Source organism: Homo sapiens, chromosome 1 (genome assembly GCF_000001405.40).
Source record: "Homo sapiens chromosome 1, GRCh38.p14 Primary Assembly".
Taxonomy (NCBI): domain Eukaryota; kingdom Metazoa; phylum Chordata; class Mammalia; order Primates; family Hominidae; genus Homo; species Homo sapiens.
In genome coordinates this window covers 108,684,512-108,706,894 of record NC_000001.11, presented here as the reverse complement: position 1 = coordinate 108,706,894, position 22,383 = coordinate 108,684,512, and the positions used below count along the sequence as shown (strand labels likewise).

Here is a 22,383-nt window from a genome sequence, read left to right as displayed (position 1 = left end):
AATCCCAGCATGTTGGGAGGCCAAGGTGGGAGGGTTACTTGAGCCCAAGAGTTCCAGACCAGCCTGGGCAATGCAGTGAGACCCCACCTCTATAAAAAATTAGCCAGGTGTGGTGGTGTGTGCCTATAGTCTCAGCTACTTGGGAGGCTGAGGTAGGAGGATCACTTGAGCTTGGGAGGTTGAGACTACAGTGAGCCACGATCGTGCCACTGTACTCCAGCCTGGGCAACGGAGCAAGACCATGTCTCAAACAAACAAACCCCACTTTTTGTCACAAACACACACCACTTTTTTTCTTCTTCACTCAAATTAAGTAGATGGTATTTTCTTGCTGGTACTAACAAGGATAAACAGATTAAAAACTCAATGTTAGAAAATATCAGGAAGACCCTTACTGATCAGAGATTCCTGGTTATTACAATAAAAGAAACCAGAGTTAGGCTCCTGTATTCCAGGGAAGAGAAACTCAGGCCACCTTAAGAAAAACAGAGAAATTGCAAGGATATCCACTGACCAGACTGGGAAAAAACTAGAAAGCCAGCAGGAAGTGAGGCAGCTTCAGGGTCCGGTGACTCTTTTACATGGTCACTGTTGTAAGACAACTATGCATCTTGTCCACTCTTCTAAGGACTGGCCAATTCTTAGTTTTCTGTTAAAATTCTGAAAGAAGCCTGTCTGATTCACTTACATAATTCTCAACAAACTTCTTGGGCTGAGCCCTTTATACTAGACTACTTCATCAGCCAGCCAAAGGAGGGAGCATCCATATGACTGGCATCATTTTAATACATTGTACCATTCAGGGTCCAGTCCAGAGACAGAAAACACACAGTAATTCCAAGAGGCAAAGTTTGATACAAAGAATTATTAACCAGTAACGGGGTTAACTACTAAAGGTAAAGAGAAGGCTAAAAAAATACAGTAATAGTGGATATAGGGAGCAGCCATTACCTCTAGTGCTGAGGCAGAGGACCCAAGAAAAGAACAAATGTGGGGGACGTGGCTGGGCACAGTGGCTCACATCTGTAATCTCAGCACTTTGGGAGGCCAAGGAGGGAGGATTGCTTGAGGCCAGGAGTTTGAGACCAGCTTGGGAAACACAGTAAGACCCAGTCCCTAGGAAGAAAAATAAAAATCAGCCAGTTGTAGGGGCACCCGCCCATAATAATCCTTCCTAACCACTCAGGAGGCTGAGGCTGGAGGATTGCTTGAGCCCTGGTTGAGTCTGCAGCGAGCTGAGATCGTGCCACTGCACTCCAGCCTGGGTGACAGAGCAAGGCTCTGTCTAAAACAACAATAACAACCAAAACAAAACAAACAAACAAAAAACGAAAACATTAGGAGACGTTCCCTTGCTAGACTGAGATTCAGACCTTGTTGGCGAGGGTGCAGTTGTGGCTTCTCAGCAAATGCTGAGAAGCTGAAGGTTGGAGCTGGAGAGCAGAGGTGTCAACAAAAGTAGCTAGGAGGCCACCCACTGGGGTGCCACTGAGACTTACTGGGAAACCTGTGAGGTCCTGCTGAAACTCCTGGGCAGGTGCCTGCTGGAGCACTAGCAAACTTGCTGGGAAGCGGGCAGGGGACTCGTGGACTTGCGGGGAACTCCCACTTCTCTCAATGAGATGGTACTGAAATTTGCTGGGGGATATATATTGCTGGGTGCTCTACATGCCACTGGCCCCTACACAATGGAGAAGCAAAAAGAAAAAAGAAAACACACCTCTCTGCTGCAGCTCCCTCCAGCATGCTCCACTGACACGCTTAACATTATGCCAGCCGGCAATGGAAAAATGTTTAAAAGGCCCAGCTCCAGAATCACGAAGCAGGGAAATAAAAGGTGGATGTGGAGCTAGAAAATGTATAAATAACTGGCACATCCACAAATCACTGGCTGTCCCTGCACAAGTTTCGGCTAACCCATGGAACACTTCATTCAGGAAATGTTCACCGAACCAGTACCTGGATTGGCTGGATGAGTGTTGCATTTAAGATTTTCCCTCTATTGGTATAGTCGAATATCCAGGACATTGACTTCAAAATTTCTAAATAAGAGGGAAGGAGAAGACAAGAGGTCTTCCCTTGCATTTGCTCAGCAAGCACTGCTTGTTTTCACTTAGATTATATGTTTATTTTGGATGTCAGAGGTTCATAGCTGATGGAATTTGTTGGAGGGCGGGGCAGGGATGTGTGTGACTAATTGCACTGACTCAAGAAACAGAGAAATAATTCAGCTTCAGAATGGCCAGAACAAGAATCAGCCAAGGAAAACCAACTGAAGATTGGTGGACTTTAAGTACCTGCAGATCAGGGAAGCTTATGTGAGGATTTCTTTACAATAAGTAGTTCTTTTTCCAATCCTTGTGGCAAAACCTCAGGGCTTACATGAAATGCTGTAAGGTCAGTTCTCTGTTTATGCAATAGGCTGAAAAAGCACCCCCCACCCCCTAACACACACATCTGGATACATATCTGTGCTACACATTGTGGATCATGATTATGTAAATAGAAATGCTTTGAATATCAATACTCTGAGAAATCAAATAACGGATTTTAAGTCAGCCATGATGCTAACATTTTCCAGTTGTGACAATGGTCCCAATAAATGCCATTTCAGAGGTACTTGCAAAGTACTGTGGGACTTTATAGGGTGGAATGACGGAGGGGAAATTTCAGAGTGACACTACCAAGAAGCGTTTCCTGCCACGTAAAATCATCTCTACTTAAGAGGTCCTATAATTTAGTCATTCAAGGCTGATTTCAGCATTTACGTAATAGAATCAAACTAGGAACAGAATCAACGCCCATCAGTTGGCCAATATCACCTGAGAATTGGTCCACTAGTCAGTGTTTGAGGTTGCACGTTGGCATCAGTTGAAAGATGTACAAACTGCCAGTGGTGGGACCTCATCTCTACTAACCAAAAACTTTATAATAAAGCACAACTTTTAGGGAAGAGAATTAAGTGAATACCATTGTCATTTTTTTCTTCCTCTGCAGCTCTAAGTAAAATAACAAAACAGATACTGCCTTTGCAACTAACTGCCTAAGTACTCTTAGGAACTTAAGTTTCTGGTTTATTAATTCCCAAACACTGTACATCTAAGCATAGTTTTAAAAAAATCAGTTAATGAACAGAACCAAAGTCCTAGGGCAGTTTGTGAGTTCCTTTGAAGTTACACACAAATTTTAAGGTACTTTTTGAGACACAGCCTCCTTCTCTCGCCCAGGCTGGAGTGCAGTGGTGAGATCTCGGCTAACCGCAACTTCCGCCTCCCAGGTTCTAAGCGACTCTGCTGCCTCAGCATCCGGAGTAGCTGGGATTACAGGCGTGCACCACCACACCCGGCGTATTTTGTATTTTGTATTTTGATTTTTTGAGACGGAGTCTTGCTCTGTCAACCAGGCTGGAGTGCAGTGGCGTGATCTCAGCTCACTGCAACCTCTGCCTCCTGGTTTCAAGGGATTCTCCTACCTCAGCCTCCCAAGTAGCTGAGACTACAGGCATACACCACCACACCCGGCTAATTTTTGTATTTTTATTAGAAACGGGGTTTCACTGTGTTAGCCAGGCTGGTCTCGAACTCCTGACCTTGTGATCTGCCCGCCTTGGCCTCCCAAAGTGCTGGGATTACAGGCATGAGCCACCACACCCGGCCCGTATTTTCCACTTTTTAGTAGACATGGGGTTTCAGCATGTTGGCCAGGCTGGTCTCAAACTCCTGACCTCAGGTGACCTACTGGCCTCGGACTCCCAAAGTGCTGGGATTACAGATGTGAGCCACTGCACCTAGTGGGGTACTTTTTTTTAGACAGGATGGTAGCTTTCATCAGATTACTAAAAAGTGGGCCCAGAACTCAAAACAACCATTGCCTTAGAGGAACTGAGGAACTAAATCAGAGTTAGGAGATAAAAACAGGGCAATATTAAAATGAACACTTTATATTAAAAGTTTAAGATTGATGATATACTCGCCCATGTATAGAATTTAATTGCAAATTGAACATTAAAAACAGGCAAAAGATTTTAATACATGGAAAGGTGAAATCATTCCAGTAAGTACAAAAACTGGATGGAGGATGCTTATTAAGCTGTATTAAAAATTTTTTTAAATTATACTTTAAGTTCAGATACATGTGCAGAACGTGCCGGTTTGTTACCTAGATATACATGTACCTTGGTGGTGAGCTGCACCCATCAACCTGTCATCTACATTAGGTATTTCTCCTAATATTATCCCTCCCCTAGTCCCCCACCCCACAACAGGCCCCGGCGTGTGATGTTCGTGTCCAAATGTTCTCATGTTTCAAGAAATGTGAGATGTCTTTCATAGCCACTTGTTTTCCCAGTTTCTTAGGAAGCCACTCTCCAAATAAATCATGCATATATATAGCAATAACTAGCACAATTTACATGTTCTCACACCTACCATAATTTTCCTCAAAAGCAAACATATTTAAAAATCGTAAGAAGGGACTGGAGTGGTGGCTCACACCTGTAATCACAGCGCTTTGGGAGGCTGAGGTGGGTGGATCACTTGAGGCCAGGAGTTCAAGACCAGCCTGGGCAACATGGCGAAATCCCAACCCTACCAAAAATACAAATTAGCCGGGTGTGCTAGCATGCACCTGTGGTCCCAGCTACTTAGGAGGCCAAGTTCGGAGGATCACTTGAGCCAGGGAAGTGGAGGCTGCAGTGAGCAGAGATTGCACCACTGCACTCCAGTCTGGGTGACAGAGCCAGGCCCGTCTCAAAACAAAAACAAACTAAAAACCCACAAGAAATCAAATGTAGTGACGATCATCGAACTGTCAATCGAGGTGATAGTTCTTTCACCTCCATGTGAAGTAATTTAAATTCTTTCCACATTTTACTTAAAATAGTCAGATAAAACATTTCACATGGAACCATATCCAAAGTAGTAGCTCCATAATTTAGGTATGCTAAAAGTAGATTTTCAACACAAGACAAATTTAGTGGCTTTCATATTATACAATAGGTTTTTCTAACTTCTGGGTGTCTATAGCACTAATTCACTTGATGCTCAATTTAAAAGACAAAGGAATTTTCTTAAAAAAGAAAAAAGCATATCATTTTTAGAAGAATTCATTTAATGAGATTTTTCTAAAATGGAGTGGTACATATGTTAAGCCCACATATGGAGGACTCTTGCAAGTGTACTCGTTTGCTCCATTTAACATTTTTGCAAGGTGGCTTCTGAGTGCGCATTAGTTGGCCAGTATAACCAGTGAGATAAAACAAACCTCAATGTGCGTGCCAGGTTCACTACACTGTCAGAATACTGAGTTTTAGCCCTAGCACTGACATCATTACTTTGGGCCTCTATTTTCTTTTCTAAAAAGAATTGGGTGAATTATCTTAAAGAATTTCAAGTCCAAATTTTAAAAAATGCTAACATATTGTCCAAGTAAAAGGTATCCCAATAAACGTCTTTGACATGGAACAAAGTAATCAAATGACACATGTAACAACCACTGACAAAGGGAACTGCCATTATCAAGTATTCTAATAAAGATTATTGATTACCACATGCCCAATCCCAGTCTATGCATTTCTCCAAAATTCACTTGTCATCTGGGCACTAAGACATCCCTGTACACAAAGTGTGACTCTACTGACGTTTCATCAATTTCCACAATATAAATATGCTAAAAAAATTTAACAAATGGGGGAAAAGCCAAGACCCAGGATAAAGGATTTAATCCAGTATTTATTCCACACTCATGATGGTTCTGTAATCAGAATACAAGTTGTAAGAACAATCTATCAAATAATTTGCTGATAGTCTTAAATAATGCAGCACAGCATTACTTTTAATACTCCTCTGTTCTAGATTAAGTTTAAAAACTCAAACAGCAATCTCCATTATCAATAAAAAAAGTTCTGAATTTTAAAAAAAGGACACTATATCAAGCTGTTTCATAATTTAAGGATTTTCCATTTATAAAAATGCTTTGGAAGCTTGAGGCTTGAATCTGTTTCTCTACTCATCTGCCCCACCCTCTCCCCATTACATGTTAGTATAGGGTTCTGCAAGAATGCTAGGCTTTAGACATTAATTTTTTTCTTTAATATAGTACTTTAAAATCTGAGAAAGAATTCAAGAAAAAAAGATTACATGTCATGTATTTTTTCAAATAAAAAAGGAAAACTAAGTGAATAAATTTTAGGCATACTAAGTGTCCCTTTGAGGTAGAATGCTAAAAGGACTTTTGATGAAATCACAGCCTAAAAACCTCTGCATCAGAAACTAACTTCTCATAAATTCTCTCTAAAGGTAACTGTGGAGAATATTAAGTGTAACATATTAACAAGAGCCTTCCAAGATAATATACAGTAGACAAGAATGTTAATCCTACAATGCTGCCTTCTTGTACATTGGCAGCACATACTTCTCCTATAATAGACATCCAAGATCCATTCTCAAAGTCTTTAGCATTCTATTACGAAAAGCACAGCCATGCTAACTTCAGTACACAAACCATAATCCCACACCTACAAAACAAAAATAGATTAGTGGCAGTTTATTGCCTTATACAAATTTAACCAACATGGCAACCATGCCAAAGGAATTAAAACATTTTCAGGACATATGTACAGACTGTACATTTCAAAAACAAACAATAAAAATGCAAGAACAATCTGTGCATCATGTATCAAACTTAACAATTGGGTGAAAACACCAATGCAATAAATGGAATTACAAAGGCACTTCCCTACACGAAAGAGGAAATGAAAATGCAGCCTACAGGGAGAGCTTGAGGAGTGCGAACTACTGCACAATCTCAACGTGGGGGAAAAAAGCAGATTTAATCATTTATAGGATTCAATGTGATCCACTTTTACAAAATATTTTCACACAGTCTCATCTTTGTTTTTATGCTGTTTTTCTTGGCTCTCTTGTTCTATACTTTGGCTCCTTCGACGATCATGTTTGTCTGACTGGTCCTTACTATCACTGTGATCTCGTTTGTGGGAACGTTCTTTGCTTCTACTACGCTTTCTAGATTTTTCTTTGCTGGGACTATGTTCCCGTTTTTTTGATTTTTCAACACTGTCAGTTCTTCCTTGACTGCCACTTCGACTTCGTTTATTTGATTTTTCTTTACTTTCATTTTTATGTTTACTTGATTTCTCTTTGCTTCTACTTCTACTTCGTTTCCCTGCATTTCTACTTCGACTCCTACTTCTGTGTTTCCTTTCTCTGCTTCTGCTTCTACTGTGTTTTTTCTCTTTCTTGGAATCTCTTTTGTCATCTCTGTGCCGCCTATCATCTTTGTCTTCTTTATGTTTCTTCTCTTCTACCTCTCCCCTACTTCTCTGTTCCTTGGACCTTTCTCTTGATCGCTCTCTCTCTTTTTCTCGTTCATTTCCTCTTTCCTTATCATAGTCACGATCTCGTCTTCTACCTCTCTCATTTTCTTTCTCTCTTTCTCGATCCCTGTCCCTTCTATCCCCTTTCCTATCACGACTTCGACTGCGACTTCTATGCCTTTCCCTACTTCTGCTGCGCCTGCGTTCTAACCCCCGGTCAATACTTCGGGATCTTCGCCGTTCTTTCTCCCTTTCTTTGGCTTCACGCTCTAGTCGCTGGCGTTCTTTCTCTCTTTCTAATTCTCTGTCAAAACTAGAAGACCCATGGCCCTCCCGATGATGACTTCTACTTCTTGACCTTCTTGGGGACCTCCGTGGACTCAGAGATCTCCTTGGAGACCTAAGGAAGGCGGAGGGAGAAAGAAAATTTCAATGAATAAAACATATGCAATTCTTTTCACAGTAAAACTTTCAACAGCATTATTTATTCATGTCCTCAAGCTTAAGGCCATGTCAAGAATCATTAAAGCAAAAAATTTTATTGTTCTCATTTACAGATGCATAATTTTATAGAAAAAGCCCTGAAAGGAAGAAAATAATCTTTGGGGGGTAAAAGTGACAAACTAATAAAATGAACAGTAAAAACAAATTCCTAAGAACTTGCTATTTCTCAGAACCATTAATTTTGTATAAAGCATATATGAAAAATAAGCATAATTCAAGAGTGACATTACCTTGAACGTCTGCGTTCAACATGTCTGTCTATTTCCTCAGCACCTTCCTTCCCATCTTTCTTGATTTTTCTAGGTCGGGTTTTAATCTGTTGATCAATATTCTTTTGAACTGGAACTGGAATTCTTGGAAACAAGGTAGAAAACCACTCCAGTTTTGTGAGAAAAGATCGTAGCATTTCTCCAATGGTCATTACACAGCCTCCACCAGCCTTCACATCTAGGTCCTACAGAAACACAAAAGATACCCTAGCCGTCAAAAAAAGTATTTCCATATATACATGAATATTATAAAAATATTACCATCTTTGGAATCTCAATACAAAAAAAACTAACAGAAAAATTTTATTTTCATATCCTGATCTGACAATGAATGAACAGAAATATTTGGGCTTAGTGTGTGCATGCAAGTGAGAACAAACCCTGCAGCCTCACAGGCATAAAGGGAACTGATCTCACTCAGTTAACAATATGAAAAAGCCCCTTACATTTCTAAACTATGCGGAACGATTGACTTAAATTTACATTCCACATACCTACTATGTATTTATTTCTGTGGACATATTTGCACACATCATATACCTTGCACCATAACCTAGCTACATATGATCTACTTTAGATAATTCCTGTCTAAAGGTTATCTTTTAACAGCTCTAATATAAAATGAAGCCCTAATAAAACTGGAAGCAATAGCAAACCAACTGCCATGAAGCAGTGAGGTTTCTAATTTAGTTATGTAGAAAATAAATAAATGAACAAATAATTGGAAACGCATAATCCATGATGACCATTGTCTCTGAAAAGGGTCATTACCGCATGAAGGCCTTCTTGCTATGCCCTCTCACAGCTCAGGACATGTTAGTCAGCTATTGTCAGTCCCAAACCTATAGTGCAAGCACACAAGGAAAGTGAGATTTGTTATCTAAACAGGAAAACAAGAGCTAAAGGTAAAACTGCTTGCACTCACACACATTTAAGTGTTCAGATATACAGTATTTCCAAATATAATCGCTGCAGATATCTAAGGAAGAAAACAATAAGTTAGCTTAAATAGAGGACCTCAGATTTGTAAACACAATAAAAAACATAAAATAGAGGCATCCAGAAACAAAACCAATACAACACCAATTATGAAGAGGAACATGCTTTTTTAAAGACAGAAGGGAGAAGCACTTCAGTCTGAAAAACTGATCTAAAGATAAAAAGACCTTAAAGATTGTGATTTAAAACACGTTTTGCTTCTTCTGAGTGAAGTAACTCAGTTAACAGGCAAAAAAAAAAAAAAAAAAAAAGAGAAAAATAAAAATTCTCCATGTCTAAATGAGATTTTTTTTTTTTTTAGGTGTGCATGTAATAACAAAACACAATAGATTTCCATTAGAACCATCCTTTAATTCAATAAATTCTTTGGATGAACTCTGTAAATAGACTACTGACACATAGCACTCAAAAAGTCTTATGAACCTTAAAACACAAAGTAGTAGACTGGGTAGACATAGGGACAATACAGCTCATCATTTCATTTTTGACATGTTGGACTTCACCATGCAAGTAAATTAATGCATATATGATATTTTGTTTTGTTTTGAGAAAGGGTCTTACTGTGTTACCCAGGCTGGAATGCAGTGGCAATGATCTTGGCTCACAGCAAATTCTGTCTCCTGGGCTCAAGTGATCCTCCCACCCCAGCCTCCCAAGTAGGTGGGACTAAGATGCATACCTCTATGCTCAGCTAATTTTTAAACTTTTTTTTGTAGAGATGAGGTCTCACTATATTGCTCAGGCTGGTCTTGAACTCTCGAAGTGTTGGGATTACAATGTGAGCCACCACGCCCAGCCAATGCATACACGATTTAAATCTAACTTAGTATTTCAGATTTCAAATTAGGGAGACTCGAATTACAATTTAAAAAATTTCTTTTTTAAAGGTGTGTGTGGTGTACTAGGAGTCAGAAAACTGGAATTAAAATTTTGTCACCTTGAACAAGTCATCCAAACACTTAGCCTATTTATGTAACACCCAACTCTTCAATTCTGCACTTCTATGCAAGTGGGAATACTGATATTTGGAAGAAGCTAGAGGGTGAAGAACTGAAATGTTCCAGAAGAAAAAAAAGCTACAATTAGTATTCTATGTGCATATCTTTTATTATCTGTTCGATCTTGAGCATGCCCCATCTTGAAAAGTCACTATTAACTATACAATTCAGGATCAATACAATACACAGAACATAATTAAGAAGAGAAAATTTTCCAATAGTTACCAAACACATTTAAACAATTTTAAAACAAGAAAATAAAACTTCAGAAATTTACCCTAAAATACATAAAAGCCATCAGGTCTCAGTAAAAGGACATTAATTCCAAAAGTATCTCACTGAAATAAATTTAACTACAGGAAGTTCTTGAAGACATTAAACCACCAATAAATAAAAGATAATAAAAATATGAGAGTAATCAGAAGAAAACAAATTATTACCCTTGTTGACATACCTCTTCATCATCAAGGAAGGATTCAAACCAGTCCCACAGATCTGTAGGGGGCTGTGTATATCTAGAATTACAAAAGACTATTATTAAACACATGTGAATTAAAATGAGATATTTACTGGAAATGTACATAAATGTACGCTCACCTTATATACATAAATCCAAGCGCTCTAATATATGGAGAGTCTGTGTGTGTTATAAGACCCATCACTTGCTTTCGAGTTAACTTCAGGGTAAATAATTTGTATAACAGGCAAAATGCTGTAGAAACAATTCCTCCTGTTCCAACACCTCGAACCTTTAGGGGAAACGAGTTAAGAAAAAGTAGTAAAATAATTAACGGACTCTTAACACCAATTGATTAATCCTGTTAGGTATCAATAACAATCCATAATCCAGAACTAAGGAGCATTAAAAAGTAACACTTTTCTAACCCTATTTCACTGAACACTTGAATTTGGATTAAAAAAATTGTCACTCAAGTGTATAATTGACAGGCCTCTAGTTCTCTAAATATAAACTTAGTTATTAGACACAGAAAAACTGAAAAATGCACGTACTTCTACTTACCCCTCCGCACATCCCTGTCTGGCCCGCTGTTTTCCTGCTTCCTTTCTCCCATGGTTCAACGTGCGTGACCTGAAAATAGAAAAGAGGAACACAACAAACATTCATACTTTGAATTTGTTTAAAAGCCTGATAAAAGTAAACCCAAGTCCATAATAGAGCAGCTCTTCCAAAATTATTTTGGCATTAAGTATATGTTTACTGATATTAAGTGTGTAAATCATTTTTGGAAAAACTGCTTAGACATTTAGACAGCACCCATAAAGCTACTAGGGTTTAACAAAACCTTAATAGCTTTGCAGAGGAGAAATCCCACTCAACTAGCTTTATAAAGAGCTGATATCTACATCTGGGAGTCAGAAAATTTCTATAGTCTCACTTGGTTGCAAAAACTATTTGGTAATATTTTAACTTTGATAATATTTGACAATTTAACTTATGGGTTGCTTAACATTTTCCTTTAAAAATGGATTTAAGTCTCCAATTTAAAGCAAAAAGTATTAACGTTAAGCATTAATTTAAAAACTTCAAAACACCTTCAATAGTTCAATTTTATTGTAATTTAAAATCTACATTATAAAATTAAGGAAAATTACTTGAAGAAAATTTTCTAAAACAGTAACGAGTTACTTGTGATGCAAAATTATGGAACTTTTTATTTGTACATTTTTTCCACCAGGGTCAGGTTTATTCCTGATTAAAGATAAAATTACAAAGGCCACACTTACAGAGATCATTGTTGTAATTAAGCTTCAGCCTAATTATGTGTGAACCAATCCAATTATTCCCCAGAATATAAATTGTGTCAAAAACTGAGTGTGAATAGTCACTGGCATATACTAAGTATCATCAAAGATGATACAGTATCATATTTGCTAAGAGGAACATCTTACAAAAACTAGTCCTTATCTAAAAATAGCAACAACAACAGCAACAACAACAAAAGAATATTAACTCTAAAATAGAATCCAAAAAGGTCTTTTGGGAAGACCCATCTTTGTTTTTTTTTAAAAACATAAAAAAAAATCCTGTTTTTTCACTGCATATTTCTAAAATTCTATTTCCACCCACATGGTAAATTTTGTAGTCCTGAACAATGGCTTTAGATAGAAAAGCGTGCATGTAAGTTTAAGCACTACACTATTTTGCAGTGCTTTAACGTTTCCTTTCTTCCCCACAGATTGCCATGTAAAAGATGTTTCAATTCCTTAAAAGCTAGCCAAAGGCAGGGCTGGATGCATACAAAATAAAATTACAAAGTTGGAAACTTATAAATTTCAGTGAGTATTTGATCTGAAAGTCTTAAGTCTTCTTAATATTAGTAAAAAAACTGGGTCTTTAGTTTTTTAACGGAATTTAAAAACAATTCCTGGTAGAATCTTGTTTCAAAACACATTTGAAACTTAAAAACGAGACTTTCCTCTATTACATTAACATTTTGCCTATGTTAGAAAACAGAACCTGCCGCAGAAAGAGCAGGAACCCAATTTTCAACTGTTTAAAGTTTACTGCATAAATAAAGCTAAGGATTAAATGTTATTCACCATACTGTATCCATGCTAAAAAGGTCTTACCTTTTAAAAGCTAAAAAAACTAATTCATAGAATTACAATCAGACCTACTCTCGTAAGAGGATTCCAAATTTATTTGTGTACTTTATCAACCCAAAGTTGAACTGTATTCAAGAGATGTTTTCTATAAAAAGCAACTAATCTCTCAAAATCCTTCAATAACCTAATTACTCAACTGGGGGAAAAGGTGGGCAAGACAAAAGAGAATGTCCTTTTGTTACCATCTCTACACATACGTTCAAATGATAGAAAACACTTTGTGCGGTCTGTCAAGTTTTTAAGAGTGAATATAGACAAAAATGGATTGTGTATTAGATGCTCCGGATAAAATTTTTAAAGACCACTAAGGCTATTATTAATATTCTTTAAAATAGAAATTAACTTTCGGAGGCCTGGAAGGTATTTTTTATACTACATAATTTGCAGGGAAGTGGAAAAAGCCTACCTAATTGGTGAAGGACCAAAAGCAATGGCCAAAAAAACCCACAAAAATCTAATTAGTCGTTCATTTAACCAGGGAAATGCATTTATGGCGATTGAGCATGATTAATAGTGCATACCTCTACCTGCGACCCTGGGCTGCTCCGAGCCTCGCTGCAAGACTGAGTCAATCCTGCTAACGAAACAAGAACTGAGACAAGAGTGCAGTGAGGAGGCGCCAGGTGAGCTCCCCAGCACAGCCAAGCCAGCACCGACCCTGCCGCAGAAGCCCAGGGCCCAGATAATTCTAAATTAGCCCAATGCACAGGTGGCTGAGACCTCTTACTCCTGACTTCCTGCTGGGAAAATTTCCAGGCCTTCTGTACACCTCTTGAAATGGCACCTCTCCACCCTCATCCCCCCACCCCACCCGACACACACGCACTGACCATTTCCCTGCCTGGATCGGATAGTGAGTACCAACAACACGAGGCCAATACTGAAGTCATTACACGCCCTGGCCAGGGGTGAGCGGGAGAAGCACCAACAAGTTGGCGCTCAGCAGATCCACGTCAAAAGGAATAATTTTAAAGCTGTAAACTGGAAAGGCTTCTGTTACTCTTTCCTCCTCTCCCCCATCCCTCTTGCCCAACTCCCCCCAGGGGTGGGCAGGAGGTTGGGGGAGGAGAGAGATCAATAGTGGCGGGCTCTCCCGGCCCTAAAAATCTAAAATGGAAACGAGAGGGCGGCCCCAGTCCGACCCCTCCCAGACACACTACAGGCCGCAGCCACCCCTCCGCCGAACCACCTTCCCCCACCCACAAATCTTCAGATTTCGGGGGCCGCCTTCGCCCGTTTCCTCCATACCCCCTCTTCCGAACTTACCCCCAAAGCCAAGGCCTACACACTTCGTACCTTAAAGTAGATCTCGTCCACCACCTCGTGGTAGGTCTTGAGCTCGTAGAGCTGTACTTTGAAGTAAGGCGACGACAGGATGTTGGTCAGGATCATGGGGTTGAGGTTCATGGTCTTCTCGTTGCCCCAGAGCGGGAGCACATTGCCCTGCTTGCCGGAGACCGCCGGCTTGGTAGCGCCGCCGCCGCCGCACTGCTGCTGTTGCTGAGCCGCAGCTGCAGCCGCCTGGTGCTGCGGCTGCGAGTTGCCTGTCAGCGCGGGGCTGTTGTTAGCCATGTTGCGGCGGAAGGAAGGAGGGAGGGAAGGAGGGGGGGGAGGGGGCCAAGCTCGATCTCGCTCTTCGGGACAACGGTCTGGGACCCTACTCCATCGAACGTCGTCGGGAGAAGGGGCCGCCTCGCTGTGCCCCAGCTGGGCAAGAGAGGGCACCCGACGCCGACAAAATGACCCCGGGCCAAGAGCAGACAGCGAAACCCAGACCGCGAGAACTCCACGCAGAAGGCGAGCCGGCAGCCAGGGAGCTCGATCTCTTCCGCCAACTGCCCCTGGGAACAAGATGGCGGGCCCGGCGGATATGACGCCACGCACCCCAGCGTTCCAAGCTGAGCTGGCGGCCAATCAGAGACGCTCAGTTGGGCTGGAGCGTCCTCTTCCTAGGTCCCCGCGTTCTCTGCACGCTGAAGTCGCTGCAGTGACCTCCGTACCTGACTCTTAGGGGATTTCTCCTGAGAATTTGGGGGCCGGGGGAGAGGGTTGTAGGCCTAATCCGTTGTTGTTGTATTTTGACTGGGGGCTTGATTTCTTTTGTCGGGAGCTGAGCCAGGAAGGGTTCGCATGGCTGCGGTGTGCTTGCTAATATCGTCACTCTGACTTCTGCAGAGTATCCGAGAGGGGTCTCCTGGGATCTCAGTTTTAAGGTTCTCTGGAAGGTACAATGGTCAGGGACCCCACTCCTCCAGGAGATTCTGATCAAAGGTCACGTACTTCGCCAGCCTCTAGTGTCCAGCCAGAAGTCTTAAATTTATTCATCCGTAAGATTGAGATAACATCTGGCTGGGCTGTTGTGAGCATTGAAAGAGCTAATGTACTTGTAGTGCCTAGTAGACTGTTCCAGGCATCTGGTAGGCGCCTTTTCTTTTTCTCCCTGCTCCAGATCTTTGGATTCTAGGAATGTATCCGGAGTGATAAACATTGGGCGAGATACTGTATATTGGGAGTGGGTGTGTGAATGTGTGGGGAGTTTGAATGTGGCAATCTTGACTTCAGTGGCGCATACACAGGAGGAGAAAAGGATAAGATGGAAACTTTGGGGAAAATCCACATCTGGATGAAAATAAACCAGAAGAGGAGAGAGAGAGAGCGAAGACCAGCAGAAAAGTATTTAAACCAAGAGACAGTTGTTTGACAGAATACAAGGAAATAGAAAAGATAAGTGAATGGAGTGATTGATTAGTGTTTGGAGCTGTACGGTACGAAAGTGGATATCCTGTCTGGTTCCTTTGTTTTAGGTTGCAAGAGAACTAGAACCCTGAGAGGAGAAGCAGTTTTCACCTTCTTACTAGCAAATCTTGTTTTTCTCTATAGTGGTTTTTATTAACTTCCAAAGGAAAACTGAAGATCCTAACCCCTGTGTCATGAGTTATCACGTTAAAAGTCCATAGAAAAAATTTTTTTTAACCCAGTTCTTTTTGTGTATATATTTTTTGCCTTGATAATACTAGTTTATTGAGTTTGCCGAGTGACACATTGCCAAATCTTATGCCCTATTTTTAATTCCTCAGATACATGATCTTTCTGTATAGTCTTAGACAGTCTTTACCCCTAGTCTGTTTGGATGAAGAGCTTGGTAGAGAGGTTGAGTTTGATATCTAAGTGTCAGCGGCATCAAACTCGGAGCCAGGTATTATGATAAAGTGCTTTAACATATTCAGTGAATCCCTACAACAGGCTGAAGATGTTATTTTTATCCCCATTTTTTAGAAAACTTTATTCAGTTATAATTGAAGACCTCTACGCTGCACATATATAAAGCCGTAAGTTTGGTTTGATCAGTTTTGACATATATGTATACCCATTAAACCACTACTACAATAAACATAATCTTCTGTCAATCCCAAAAGTTTTCTTGTGCCCTTTGTAATCCATCTCTCTTTCCAACCTCATACCGAAGCAACCACTTTCTGTCAGTAGAGACTAGTTTGCATTTTCTTGAATCTTAAATAAATGAAATCATTATCCCCACACAGTGTTCTCTTTTTTTTTGCCTCCTTATTGCATGTATCAGCAGGTTGTGTTTTGTTTTAATTACTGATTAGTATTCAGTTGTATGGATTTATCACTATTTTGTTTATCTAATCATTGATGGGAACAGCATTTTTATTTGTAATAGCCCCAAATTAGAAACAACACAAATTGTTGTTGAAAATGCTGTGAACATTTGTGACTAGACTGTCTGGATTTTTTTTTTTTTTTTTTGAGACAGAGTCCCACTCTCTGGCCCAGGCTGGAGAGCCCTCTTTCAGCAGGAAGTAGCCAGATAGACTTGACATCCCTCTTCACTATGCTATTTTCTCTTTCTTGAGACCATGATATGCAACAGGCTGACTTGAGCATGGGGGAATATAAAGGGTCCAAGATTTGACCAAGTTATTTGTCAGGGGAAAATGACCAGAGCAAAATTACCTGGTGACCATCCAGCAGGCCCTGGAGACAAAAACTTCTTATCTGAGGAATTCAGAAGTAATTAGACTTTCCTGTTATGTAACACAGGCATCTGGTTCCAGTTTTTTTTCCCCAAAATTTATAAGTAACTAGAATTTCTATACATCTCTTGAATGCATGCATATCAAAACTCATTGTGTGACCCTTGCTGACATTAAGGCACCAGAATGTCTACAAATGTAATCACTTATCATGACCTACATGGCTAATATGGTCCAAATTGCCCGTAAGCTCCCTCTTTGAGGTCCATAAATATCCCTAAGGAAAAATTCACTGGCACACTCAGTCCTCTCTTTCTGAGGCGCCCCGCTGCACTCTTTTGCAGCATTCTATTTAATAGAAGTTTCCTTTTTAAACCTATACTGTTGTCTGTAAATTCTTACCAACCCGTGAGTTGACCACTTTCTAGTGCTAGGGCTCTGACACCTCACCCAGCACTTATGAAATAGCCAAACTGTTTGCTGAGATGGTTGTACATTTTTCATTCCCACCAGCAGTGTATGACAGTTCCAGTTGCTCCATAACCTCACCAACACTTAGTTTTAGCTATTCTGGCTGGGAGCAGTGGCTCACACCTGTAATCCCAGTGCTTTGGGAGGCTGAGGAGGGAGGATCCCTTGAAGCCAGGAATTTGAGACCACCCGGACCAATGTAGTAATACCCATCTACAAAAAAATAAAAATCTAGCCAGGTGTAGTGGTGCTTGCCTGTAGATCCAGCTACTCAGGGGCGCAAGAGGGAGGATCACTAGAGCCCAGGGGTTTGAGACTGCAGTTAGCCATGATCCCAACACTGCACTCCGGTCTGGGTGACAGAGAAATCTTGTCTCTAAAAAGGAAAACAGAACATTTTTTTTTAGCCATTGTAATGGGTATAAGGTGGTATCTCATTGTGACTTTAATTTACATTTCTCTTACCACTAATGATGTTGAACATTTTTTCAGGTGCTTATTGTCATTTATATATTTTCTGCTGTGAAGTAACTTCAAATAATTTGCCAATTTTGTTATTTTGTTTGTCTTATTGTTGAGTGGCAAGGACTGGTTACATGATCTGTATGTAAGTCTTTTGTGTATATATGTGTTTCAAGTATTTTTACACAGTCTTTGGCTTGCTATTGAATTATCTTATTTTTCTTTTTTTGGAGACAGAGTCTCTTTCTGTCACCCTGGCTGGAGAGCAGTGGTGTGATCATAACTCACTGTAACCTCAAACTCCTGGGCTCACACAATCCTCCTGCCTCAGCCTCCCGAGTAACTAGGAGTACAGGCATGTGCCACCATACCCAGCTAATTATATATTTTTTGGTAGAGACAGGATCTCACTATGTTGCCCAGGCTGGTCTCAAACTCCTGGTCTCAAGCAATCCTCCCTTCTCAGCTTCCCCAAATGCTGGGATTACAAGTGTGAGCCCCTGTGCTGGGTTGCCTTTTCATTTTCTTAATGATGTCCTTCAAAGAGCAGTTTTTTTTTTTAATCAGGTTCAATTTATCCATTTTTTGTTTTGTTTATGTGATTCCTGCTTTTTGTGTTCTGAGAACTACCAATCTCAACCACACAGGAGAGTGTAATATTCTCCTATGTTTTCTAAAAAGGTATAGTTTGGATTTTTACATCTAGGTCTCAGATCCAGTTTGAATTAATTTTTGCTTATGGTGTGAGGTAGGGTTGATGTTCATTTTTTCCCCCCACAGGTCCTGAGTTGATCCAGCACAATTTGTTGAAAAGACCTTCCTTTCCGTTTGGAATTGCTTTAACACTTTGTCAAAAATCAATCAACCCTACCATGTGTGGGTCTACTTCTGGCTGTGTTCTATCGATCTTTGTGTTTATCTTTTCACTGATACAAAACTATCTTAACTACTATCACTTACAGTAAGTTTTGGAATCAGGTAGAGTAAGTATTCCAACTTGATTCTTCCTTTTAAAAGTCTCTTTGGTTACTCTAGGTCCTTTATATTTCCATCAATTAAAAAAAAAAGCCTGGCATATTGATATGTATTGGTGCTCAGTGAACATGTATCATTCTTGAATAAATGATTAAAATGATGACCATGTGTAACTAAAATAACAGAAACTGAACATTTCATCGTTCAGAACAACACAAATCTAGAGTAACATAAGAAGCCATTGACTAAAGTACGCAAGAACTAAAAATCTGAAGCAATTGGTGGTTTGTGTTGAAGAATCAAGGGTGTTGGACAAAACTACCCATCTCCTTGGTTATTACTTCAAAACACTGAATCAGATGAGTTATGAATTGAGAGTTAAGAATTACTTGGAGTTAACTAGGTGAATAAAGGGGAACAGATATTCTAGGTAGGGCAAACCTGTGCAAAGTCTCTGAGGCACGAAAGAACAGATGATGTGTTTGGAATGGGTTGTCACTATTAAGGCACTTGGCTATTTTTTCAGGGACAAATTAAAAACCAGTGGTGGCCTGGCATGGTGGCTCATGCCTGTAATCCCAGCACTTTGGGAGGCCAAGGCCGGTGGATCACTTGAGGTCAGGAGTTCGAGACCAGCCTGGCCAACATGGTGAAACCCCTTTTCTACCAAAAAAAAAAAAAAAAAAAAAAACCCAAAAATTAGCCGGGTGTGGTGGCTCATGCCTGTAATCCCAGCTTCTTGGGAGGCTGAGTCATGAGAATTTCTTGAACCTGGAAGGCATAGGTTGCAGTGAGCCCAAATCGTGCCACTACACTCCAGCCTGGGCAACAGAGTGAGACTCTGTCTCAAAAAAAATAAAAATAAAAACTAGTGGTTCATACAAATGCATACTTGCTGAAGAATGGGGCTGAATATCTGCTTGTCATCTCCGGCCACCAGAGGAAGGGTCTATGCCTTTCATCTAATCATTCCAGGCCCCAGGCACACAGTGATTGACATATAGTAGGTACTAAGTAAATATTTATTTATTGAGATAACAAATAAATGAAAGAATTATTGGTTCTACGTGGCTGGAAAGTAAGACTGATCCAAAGCCTTTAATGAATGTGAGAACAGTCCAGGAAGTCAGTTAAAGCCATGTCAGGGGAAAGAAGATATACGTCTCACAGATGCAGCAGTTTTATTCAAGGGAGGAATATTACAATGTAAGATAACATAAGAATGAACCTGAATTATTTAAATTATGGTCATTTGATTATGGCATGGGGTTATATATTTTAGAAAACTTTACATGAAAATTATTGAAGTTATTTAAATTCACCTTGAAAATGTTATAGAAGTCTTATTTTAAAAAATCTAACAGTTAACTTTAATTCCCATGAGGAATCTAAATTCTGATACAGTGTTTGCCAGGGACATTTTTGTGTGGCTGCCAACTATGTAGCATGGCCAGGGTTACAGATGGAAGTGATCTGCTCAGCAGATGGGTCATAAATTTGTTGATACTGGATTCATTTTAAGCTGCTGATAAGAAATATTCAGAGGTTATATCTCAAACCTTTGGAAAAATTACACAAGAGGGGATAACTGTCACTATCTTTTTTTTGAGATGGAGTCTTACTCTCTGTTACCCAGGCTGGAGAGCAGTGGTGGGATCTTGGCTCACTGCAACCTCCACTTCCTGGGTTCAAGTGATTCTCCTGCCTCAGCCTCCCGAGTAGCTGGGACTACAGGTGCCTGTCACCAGGCCCAGATAGTTTTTGTATTTATAGTAGGGATGGGATTTTGGTATGTTGGCCAGGCTGGTCTTGAACTTATGGCCTCAAGTGACCCTCCTGCCTCAGCCTCCCAAAGTGCTGGGATTAGAGGTTTGAGCTACCGCACCTAGCCCTTTTTTTTTTTTTTCTTTTTGAGACAGAGTCTCGCTCTCGTCACCCAGGCTGGAGTGCAGTGGTGCGATCTCGGCTCACTGCAACCTCCGCCTCTCGGGTTCAAGCGATTCTTCTGCCTCAGCCCCCCGAGTAGCTGGGATTACAGGCCTCCACCACCAAGCCTGGCTAATTTTTTTGTATTTTTAGTAGAGATGGGATTTCACCATGTTGGCCAGGCTGGTCTCGAACTCCTGACCTCAGGAGATCTATCCACCTCGGCCTCCCAAAGTGCTGGGATTACAGGCGTGAGCCACTGCACCTGGCCCAGCCTATCTTTTACAAGACAAGTCTTTGTATGTCTGATCAGAGACAGAGTACTGGACTGAATGAGTGATTGTCACACCTGGGCCCAAATGAGATTAGGTAATGGATTCCAAACCTTTTTTTATCCTTTTGTTAATTGCTTTTGCTGCAAAATGAAGTCAGGATTGAAGAGTTCTGACTGGTCCCTTCTTTATTTGGCCTTTGTAAACCCATTGCTCCTTGTAAGTGAAATTGTCTCATTCACAGTGCTATTGACAGGGCAAACTTATGTGGCCATGATTTATACCAAGCAACCCTGGCTCTCTCACCACAGCCAGTTGGACCACCTGTGGCACTAATCTACATGCTAGCCAGGCACCTGTTATATAGCTCCCTTGTGAATTGATCTAGGGTTTCCAGATCCTGGTAGGAATTTGAATGGGGAACAGAATCAAGCAGTTAGCAGTAGGCACTAAAAGAAAGAATGGAATGAGATAGGGAAGGAAACATTCAGGTTCATACCCAGGTTCTGAGTAAACAAAATAAGCAGGCGCTATGAAGTGGAGAAAAGATTAAGTTCTCAAGTCAGTATACTATGAAAATGTAGCATAATCAATATTACCCTTTAAAAATTTCTTAAATAACTTACAAGTAGTACAATAACATAGTTTTGTGAGGTTCTCCTGTATACATGGACATTCGGATTGTTTTAAGGGATTCACTTTTTCACTTTCCAGGTCCTCAACTTCTATGCTATATTTGTATCTAAAAGTGATGATGTAATATGGGTTCTCTTTTCCTGCCTCCTCCTCTTCCATGCTGCAAAAGAAAGGTACACATCTAACTCATCCAGATCTTACAATAGTGCGTTGTCCTGAGGTATAAAAACCTCAAGGTACCAAAGTGCCATTTTAAAAAAATGGTGTTGGAAAGACCAGGTAAAATTTCCTTTTGCAAGTCTGGTGGTTTCCAGTGTGCTGCTTTCAACAAAATAGGTGAAGGACCTAACCAAATTGTCCACTGAGAAATCATTAAACATATATATATATATTTTTGAGACAGGGTCTTGCCCAGGCTGGAGTGCAGCAGCTTCCGCTTTCTGGGCTCGAACTATCCTCCCACCTCAGCCTCCCAAGTAGCTGGGACTACAGGCATGTGCTATCATGCCCAGCTAATTATTTTTGTTTTTTTGTAAAGATGGGGGTCTTGCCATGTTGCCTAGGCCAGTGTTGAACACCTGGGCTTAAGTGATCTTCCCACTTTGGCTTCCCAAAGTGCTGGGATTACAGATGTGAGTCACTGCACCTGGTCATTCACCATAATTTTAGATGAAAGCTCACGAAGTCATTTTAGCATGTAACTTGGAACTTTTTCAAAGAATTGTCACACTGCTATAACAAAACTTTGAGACCCATTTACTCATTTACATAAATGAGGTTTCTCAACACATCTAATAAAAAAATAGGGATAGTATTGATGCTAAACTGTCTCATTTTTTGAATCAGTAATATTCATAAACAGCTATATGAATTGCTAAAAAGACATATCATCTCATCAAAAGACATAGTTAC

At 40.3% G+C, this 22,383-nt stretch overlaps 1 protein-coding gene across 20 annotated transcripts, besides 6 other annotated features; it reads right to left on the bottom strand.

Annotated features, from left to right (window-relative positions):
• Positions 3,293–3,382: an enhancer, noted in NCBI's record as "active region_1427". NCBI's record gives its function as "activates an Ori minimal core promoter by ATAC-STARR-seq in GM12878 lymphoblastoid cells {active_cell/tissue: GM12878}" and the evidence as "EXISTENCE:reporter gene assay evidence [ECO:0000049][PMID:35858748]".
• PRPF38B (pre-mRNA processing factor 38B) lies at positions 3,967–14,585 on the bottom strand. Of its 20 annotated transcripts, none has more exons than NM_001349758.2 (8): positions 14,028–14,585; positions 13,253–13,305; positions 11,115–11,193; positions 10,701–10,852; positions 10,558–10,618; positions 9,032–9,085; positions 8,068–8,291; positions 3,967–7,733 (listed from the first exon to the last, which is right to left on the bottom strand). In NM_001349758.2, the coding sequence occupies exons 6-8, from the start codon at positions 9,035–9,037 to the stop codon at positions 6,875–6,877; spliced, it is 1,089 nt and encodes a 362-aa protein (NP_001336687.1). In that variant the 5' UTR covers positions 9,038–9,085; positions 10,558–10,618; positions 10,701–10,852; positions 11,115–11,193; positions 13,253–13,305; positions 14,028–14,585; the 3' UTR covers positions 3,967–6,874. The 20 variants fall into 20 exon arrangements, 18 of the variants coding, with proteins under 18 accessions (NP_001336687.1, NP_001336696.1, NP_001336699.1 ...); NM_001349767.2 differs by lacking the exon at positions 9,032–9,085 and adding an exon at positions 8,878–8,948; NM_001349770.2 differs by lacking the exon at positions 9,032–9,085 and adding an exon at positions 8,878–8,948 and having other exon boundaries at positions 11,125–11,193.
• Positions 13,123–13,683: an enhancer, noted in NCBI's record as "H3K27ac hESC enhancer chr1:109235834-109236394 (GRCh37/hg19 assembly coordinates)". NCBI's record gives its function as "activates a minimal SCP1, AML or CMV promoter by ChIP-STARR-seq in naive H9 embryonic stem cells {active_cell/tissue: H9 hESC(naive)}" and the evidence as "EXISTENCE:reporter gene assay evidence [ECO:0000049][PMID:30033119]".
• Positions 14,246–14,806: an enhancer, noted in NCBI's record as "NANOG-H3K27ac-H3K4me1 hESC enhancer chr1:109234711-109235271 (GRCh37/hg19 assembly coordinates)". NCBI's record gives its function as "activates a minimal SCP1, AML or CMV promoter by ChIP-STARR-seq in naive H9 embryonic stem cells {active_cell/tissue: H9 hESC(naive)}" and the evidence as "EXISTENCE:reporter gene assay evidence [ECO:0000049][PMID:30033119]".
• Positions 14,246–14,933: a biological region, named in NCBI's record as "NANOG-H3K27ac-H3K4me1 hESC enhancer GRCh37_chr1:109234711-109235271".
• Positions 14,334–14,663: an enhancer, noted in NCBI's record as "active region_1426". NCBI's record gives its function as "activates an Ori minimal core promoter by ATAC-STARR-seq in GM12878 lymphoblastoid cells {active_cell/tissue: GM12878}" and the evidence as "EXISTENCE:reporter gene assay evidence [ECO:0000049][PMID:35858748]".
• Positions 14,744–14,933: an enhancer, noted in NCBI's record as "active region_1425". NCBI's record gives its function as "activates an Ori minimal core promoter by ATAC-STARR-seq in GM12878 lymphoblastoid cells {active_cell/tissue: GM12878}" and the evidence as "EXISTENCE:reporter gene assay evidence [ECO:0000049][PMID:35858748]".